Source organism: Homo sapiens, chromosome 9 (genome assembly GCF_000001405.40).
Source record: "Homo sapiens chromosome 9, GRCh38.p14 Primary Assembly".
In the NCBI taxonomy this organism is placed as follows: Eukaryota; Metazoa; Chordata; class Mammalia; order Primates; family Hominidae; genus Homo; species Homo sapiens.
The window spans coordinates 119,073,008-119,080,676 of NC_000009.12; the positions used below are offsets into that span (position 1 = coordinate 119,073,008).

Here is a 7,669-nt window from a genome sequence, read left to right on the forward strand (position 1 = left end):
TTCACTTGTCCAACCATCAATATATATTGAGTAGGTATTATGAGTGAGATCTGTCTAGTCCCTGAGGATACGTTTCCTGCTTCCTTGGAGATGATAGTCTAATATTCACTATAGTCTAGTGTTTCTTTATGCACCAGAAATGTAGTTAAATATTTAATATAGCAACTCATTCTACCTAGGTCCTAAGATGGTACATGGTTCGTTGTTCAACAATGAAAAGGTAAGGGAATGAACTTTTACCATTCAGTCTTTTGTTCTGAGGTTCTGCTTCATAACTTGTTCTAATCCAGCCCTCTCCTCTCCCTGGGTTACCCTCTATTATATCAACCTTTTTTTTCCTTTGATATCCTTTACTATAGCCTGAAATTATTTTGTCCATTTATTCCTCTCCTTCTTTATTGCCTGTCACTCCTAATTGACTATAAATTCCAGGAAAGTCAGATGACTTTTATCTCTGTAGCTTAGTGCCCAGAAATATGTCTATTCTTTAGTCAGTGCTTAGTATGTGTGTGAATGAATGGGTGAAGTAATCAATCAGCCAAATTATCTCTTTTCATTTCTGAAACTTTGCGGTACAATATGGTAGCCATGCATGTTATTAATTACTCAAAAGGTGACTAATTAAAATTAATGTATACTATAAGTATAAAATATATCTCAGATTTCAATGACCTAGTCCCAAAATAAAAAGAAACCAAAATTTTATAAATATTTGTTATTGATTCTATGTTGCAATGATAATATTTTGAATCTATTGAGTTAAAATATACTATTAAATGTTTTAAAGAGTTAATTTCACTTGTTTCTTCTTGCTTTCTTAAATGGCGCTACAAGAATATTTAACATTTAATATATAATTCACCTTTGTGACTCACATTATGTTCCTATTGGACAGCATTAGTCTATAATAATGGCCATGAAAAACAAAGTCCAAGAAATACACAGATGTAGATAGGTGAATTAATGCTAGGGCTCAGGCAGAAGCAAATAATACTTGGAATATATTCAGATTCTGCCTCCAGGAAGTTTGGGGAGTAAATATTCAAAATTAAAAGAAGTAAAGCCAGCATTTACCTCCAGACACCTCCAGAGAGGTGTCTAATAGAAACTAGATGCCACACCCACCACTGAAAATGAAGGAAGATGTGGTTTAGGGTTAAGGTGGCCACATCACACACCAGAACCCTTCAGAAACCACTTCCGTCCCCTTGATGTGTGACCAAATGCTATCAGGACGGTGGGCAGTGATTAATGGTGACAGCTTTAAGAGCACAGCAGTGCATAGGGAAACAGACAAGGAGCTCCACAGCCGCTCAGGAGGGACTTTTAAAGGCCATTAAATCAACTCTGTGATATTTTGTATTTCACTCCGACAGTCCTGACTTCAGATGGGCCAGTTCAGAGAGTCATCTACATAGGCGTGCATGAACCTTGCTAGAATTACAATGGAAGAGCAAGATAACAGGCCAACTCTGCTTTGCTTTCCTTGTGGGTCCTGACAAGTGCACAGGTGGTATTGGCTGATCTTCCATGCGTTTCCCTATGGGGAGGAGATGCTTTTTTTCTGAGGCTCCTGATCTCTATTTTTATTTTTTCTGTGGACATCTTGCTTCAAATACTTAAATGTAAAGGAAGCTAAGGATGCTAGAGTTGGTATAGCTTGGAGATTATTCTCAACAACCGCTTAAACACTCAGGAGCATAAAATTTCCCATTGGGGAAACTACTGACGAGAATATTCCCTTCCTATTCTAAGTCTGGGTGAGGCTCAGGAATCTGTCTTTAAACCTGAGTAATTCTGATGCTGATGATCTATATGGTTGACACTGACCCTAGATATTTGCCTCAGAGCACAGATGAGGAAATAGAGGTCCTTTTAAGGAAAATAACTTGTCCAGGTTTCCGCTGAACCCTGACTTCTAGGGTTGTTGCCATGTTTTTAATGGTTTCCTGATCTAATCCATGACAAAACTTTCAGAAAATTGTCAAGCAAAAACATTTGGCGTGCGGTGGTGTGGCACCATATGATCTTCAATGCGTTCCTTGACTTGCCTGTCAATCCCTCTCCTACCCTAAGCTTAGTCATTTTGCCAAAACAGAAGTTCTTTGCATAACCTTGAATTCCTCAAAGCATATGAAATGGGACATGAAGTGGCACCGCCGGGAGACTGAATTCAAGGGTAAAGTCAGATGTTAAAACTACTAGGTTGAAAAGCTAAACAAGAATTTTGTTTCTTTATATTTACTCTGTGTTTATTTACATCAGGTATCATCAGGGCCATTCTTATATTAATGTCATGTATTTTACTTAACCATAGAAATCTCACAGAACTCTAGTTGGGGAAACAGTAGGAATGCTGGTATATTATATTGTATAATACTTTCATATCAGTTGGTTCCAATAATTACAACCTAGTGAAAAAATTGCTGTTATTATGACCCTCTCCCCCATTTAATGGATGAGAAAACTGAGGACCAGAAGGCAAGCAAATTACCCAGAAGCACAGCATTAGAAACAATAAAGCTTTCTCAAGCACAGCTCCTCAGCCATAGAAACTGGGCCTCTTTTCCACTATTCTGTGAGTTAGGTGAATGGGAAATTAACTAAAGAGCCTTGTTCAGGAAAGGGACACTTTCCGTTTTGTGCCTTTCCTCAAATTTCTTTGCACTTTCTTTTTCTAGATTCTACTTGAAGCTTGCAAAGAAAAGCAGGCAGTTTTAACACCTCAGATGGAGAATCTGTTAATAAATTGGTTTCCCACCTCCTGCTCTTTTTTTTTTTTTTTGAGACAGAATTTTGCTCTTGTCGCCCAGGCTGGAGAGCAGTGGCATGATCTTGCCTCACTGCAACCTCTGCCTCCGGGGTTCAAGCAATTCTTGTGCCTCAGTCTCTAGAAGAGCTGGGATTACAGGCTCATGTCACCATGCCCAGGTCATTTTTGTATTTCAGTAGAGACGGGGGTTCACCATGTTGGCCAGGCTGGTCTCAAACTCCTGATGTCAGGTGATCCACCTGCCTTGGCCTTCCAAAGTGCTGGCATTACAGGTGTGAGCCACCGTGCTCGGCCGCCACCTACCTGATCTTAAACTTTAATCACTGACTGTAGATCCTGTGTTCTCCCTATTGCTGATTAATATTCAACTTAAACAAACAAGAATGTGGCGTATGCATGGGTGACTTTAATGCTCACATGCTGGTGACCACTGAGGCCAGGGTAAAATGAGGAATGAAGAAGGGGCTCTTCTCAATGACCAGTGTTGAGCCCCAGGTCTCTCCATGCCTATGAGGCTGGCAGGCTCGTTTGCTTCCAGATCCTGTCCTACTAGAGCCAGTTATGACAGGTAAAATCAGTAGAAGCTTATCATTAGTAGCTCCCAGAATCAAGCACAAGCTACTGCAAGTAGGTTGACAAGCATCAGCTACTTTGTAATAATATGTGATGATCAAAGATCTCCTCCCTTAGTCTCTAATCATGGTGGCCTCCACACTTCCGGAAGTCATGCCACACAGTAGAGTTCCTAGTCTGCTATTTTTTCTGTTTGTCTTAGATCGATTGTTCTAACTGTGCCATAACTTGGTAGTCTCTCTGGGAAATGATTCTGCACTTTCTTTTCATAGCTTTCTATTTTTTTTATCCTTGTATTTGCTCCAAAATGACTATGTTTCTCAAGCACATTTTAATAAATAGGACAAATGAATGGCATCCTTGAATATGTGTGTGTGTGTGCATATGCATGTTTATGTGTGTGTGTGTGTGTTGTGTATCCCCATAGGTGCATTGACAGGGAGTAAAGGCATTTGCTATGTCCTTAGCATGGCATGGTAAACTTGTGTTCTCTCTCTATAAACATGCAGCCACAAATGACCAACACAATCACTAATTATTCAAGACCACATCCATCCTGGCATCTGCCACTGAGAAAGCCCTTGTAGAAGAAAGCGGCAGGACTTACACCTGTCAAGTAGTACCCAGGAATATTGCCAAACCTGCTCCCCAATTATATCATCTATCTCCACATCAATGTAAAATAATCAGTGCCTGAAAGTGCATAGTAGTGATTAATGGTACCAGAAAGAGAACACACCCTGTGATGGAGAGCTCACTACCTCCAGAGATTTCCCCTCCACTATTTCCCTCCCATGGGAATGTTTCCCTCCCATAGCTGGTCCTAAGTGGTTCTTCAGGGCTTCAAAGAGCCAAACTTTTCCTTCTTTCTAAGGCATGTTTCATCTTTCCTCAGGCATCTGCAATAAAAAAAAAAGTTTAGAAGACTAATGAGTAACACTGCCTCTTTCTCTACAATATTCAGAACTTATTGGTAATAAGATTCAAGAAGCACACAAATAAAGATCAAACATTTCAGGTTTACTACCAACAAAAGCTTTTGGGATGGGAAAACAGGTGAGCAGTCATTCGGGGCTTCCTTTACCTCACCCTTGAATTAAATTTACCTGCCCGTCGTAGATAGCCCTGCACCCCTGTGCCCCGAGACCCCCACCTCGATCTGAGCAGAGACTGCCTCTAAAAGCTTATCAATAGAATAATGGAGATATGCAGGTCCTATGGACAGGTTAGCTCTAAAAAAGGCAGCCTGGAAATGCCTGATGAGCACACCTAGATCCTTCTCTCAACCTCAGCAAGCGATTGCCCATCCTCTGAAACAGAGAAAGAATGAAAGCAAAGAGAAATGGAAAGTAAATTAGCAGTAGAATAGGAATTTCCTTCACTTAACAAATACTTGATTTGTGGGGAAAACATCATCCATGTTCTCTTCCTAACAGTTGATGTTTCTAGTTTGGCTGTCCTCATTAACATGTAATCCTGGTGGACCTTCCCTAAAGTTCATGTGCAGTTTAAATTTCCCTGTTACTTGTAAGCCTGGGAACAGATAAAACTATGACTATGTCTGAGCAAAGAAGAGTTCAGTTGAGGAAACTGAGATGCAGGGTGGTTAAGTGGCTCCCTCAAGATCACACAGCTGGACATCAAACCCATGCCCCCTGCCTGCCCGGGGTACTTGGCCACAGCACTCATCACTGCCATGCTGACTCCCCAGGTAAAGACTATTAGCAGGGCAAGCTGTTTTTACAATATCATCTGTCAAGTGAAATAATGATTCTGAAATCCTGGAAACCTGAGCCAGATCAAAACTGGCAGCCCCAGGAGAAGAAGGCATTTGACTCAGCACAGTCAGTCAATCCATCCTGCCACCTACACCCCCCTTGCATGGAGAGAGTTGTAATGTGTCTCTATTGTCCTAGCAAGTGAGCAGGTGTTGAATGCAAATAGAGAACAGCCCATCAGAAAAGCAAACTGGAGTATTCTGTTTTTCCCTTTTTTTTTTAAGGAAGCTTTTAATCAAAAGGGAGGAAAAAAGAGAACAAAGGGATAAAAATGAGACAAAATGGATAAGGGGGAAAAAAAGATTTTGTGATGCTAGAGCCGATAATGAGAAAAAAGGGAAGGGAGAGGTAGCCAGATTTCATGAACAGAATCCCACGCCTTGTACATCCTTGGTGGGTGACATCCACAGGGATCTTGTACAACTGGCCTGGTTTTGCAGCCAATTGCGAGTGTAGCCCTAAATGTGATCTGTTTTAAATGTATTGCAGTTGAATTATTTAATTCGAAATTTAGCTGGTGCCACAGGCTCTGGAGCAGAAGCAAGAAGAATGAACAAAATTATTTCATTGGAAAACGGTTTAATTTTTAATTATGAGATGAGGCACTTTGGGAGAATGAGACAATTGGCCCATGAGAGCTTTGTCTCCTGGGTTCACATGGAGTCATGATGGGCACTTACGAGTGTTTAATTTGCTTGTCCTGGTGACTGTCCGTTGACTCTAAGAGCAGACAGAGATCAGAGGCATAAGCAGCATAACTATGACAATAACAATGATAATTGTAACTTGTGTTTACGTAGAGGAAATTTCCACTGATTTTCTTCATTGTCATAGATACCATAAGCAACCTTGTCTAACCCACAGTCTGCAGGTCCCATGCAGCCCAGGATGGTTTTGAGTATGGCCCAATACAAATTCATAAACTTTCTTAAAACATTAGGAGATTTTTTTTTGAAATTTTTTTGGCTCATCAGCTGTTGTTAGTGTGAGTGTATTTTATGTGCAGCCCAAGATAATTCTTCTTCTTTCAGTGTGGCCCAGGGAAGCCAAAAGGCTGGGCCCCCCTGCAAGGTAACCTGGAATTTGTTTTGTCTTTTTGCATAACAGGAGGAAATGATGCAAAGTCTCAGGTATAGTAGAAAAGAGGCTTGGACTGGGAATTAAGAACAGAAGATACTAGTGTTATTGTTACTACATAACTACAATTGTATCACTTTGAGTGAGTCACTTTACCTCCTTAGGCTTCAAATTCCTTAATATATAAAAAAGTCATTGGGTCTGATGAGCTTTGTGATCACTTTTACTTTTAAAATGTGTCTTTCTGGATTTGATCCTAAACGAGCTTCTCCCATTAACTAAACTATTCTCTGTAAATGAGGTTCTTTGTGAAGAGCCTCCCATAAGCATTTCATTCTACTAAATATTATTCTATTACTGTACTATTCAATAACTCTTTACTGAGCAGTATCTCACGGTGATCCATTAAGGTCACTCAGAGACAGACAGGCATAGATTTGGATTCAAGGTATGTTAATTCCTAGCCTGCTAGCACTGTGCAGGTTAATTGATTTCTCTGAGCCATGTCTTTCTAAAATGGGGAAAATGCTACTACTTACTTGAAGGTTTGTTGTGAAAATTAAATGAAGTGATCCATGTAAAGTGCTTGAAAGTGCTGTTACAACATGGAACTCAATAAATATTAGCTCCCATTGTCACCATCATGATCATCTTCATCACCACCACCATCATGGTATGCTAGACTCTCTTATAGACATTGGAGCTGAATAGTTCCTATTATCAAAGGGACATTAATATTTTAAGAAAAAGAGGTAAACACAAACTCTAAGTATTGTCACATAGGTTTGAACAAAGAGCTCTGAGACTATAGAAAAAAAAAAACTGAGAGTCATGGAGATGGCCCGATTTGCCCAAGACCATTCAATGTATTATCCATAGTGCTAGTACCAGACGTCTAGTGTTCTCTCCTGTGTTATCAAAAACTATCTTTACAAAAAGACATTTCAAGAAACTAAATGAAATTAACATCATGAGTCTAACCTCTGCAAACCATCCAGTTTCTTCTATTTCCCAACACTTCAAGGACTACTATATAAAGATTATTGTTTTCTACTCACAACTCAACCTGCAATTGAATTGTGAGTATGATGTAAAAAAGAGCTACATCTGGCCAGGCGCGGTGGCTCATGCCTGTAATCCCAGCACTTTGGGAGGCTGAGGCGGGCAGATCACGAGGTCAGGAGATCAAGACCATCCTGGCTAATACAGTGAAAACCCGTCTCTACTAAAAATACAAAAATATTAGCCAGGCGTGGTGGCAGGCACCTATAGTCCCAGCTACTCGGGAGGCTGAGGCAGGAGAATGGTGTGAACCCAGGAGGCGGAAGTTGCAGTGAGCCGAGATAGCGCCACTGCACTCCAGCACTCCAGCCTGGGTGACAGAGCAAGACTCCGTTTCAAAAAAAAAAAAAAAAAAAAATCTACATACATATGTGTATTCTTATGTGAAAGTACAAGTGCAGATGTG

General features: G+C 40.4%; 2 annotated features.

Moving 5' to 3' along the window:
- Nucleotides 5,004-5,298: a silencer, noted in NCBI's record as "tiled region #8806; K562 Repressive non-DNase unmatched - State 24:Quies". NCBI's record gives its function as "represses a minimal TATA promoter and a strong SV40 promoter by Sharpr-MPRA in K562 cells {active_cell/tissue: K562}" and the evidence as "EXISTENCE:reporter gene assay evidence [ECO:0000049][PMID:27701403]".
- Nucleotides 7,498-7,669: a silencer, noted in NCBI's record as "fragment chr9:121842783-121842954 (GRCh37/hg19 assembly coordinates)". NCBI's record gives its function as "represses an EF-1alpha promoter that drives an FKBP-Casp9 reporter gene in an ReSE screen in K562 erythroleukemia cells {active_cell/tissue: K562}" and the evidence as "EXISTENCE:reporter gene assay evidence [ECO:0000049][PMID:32094911]".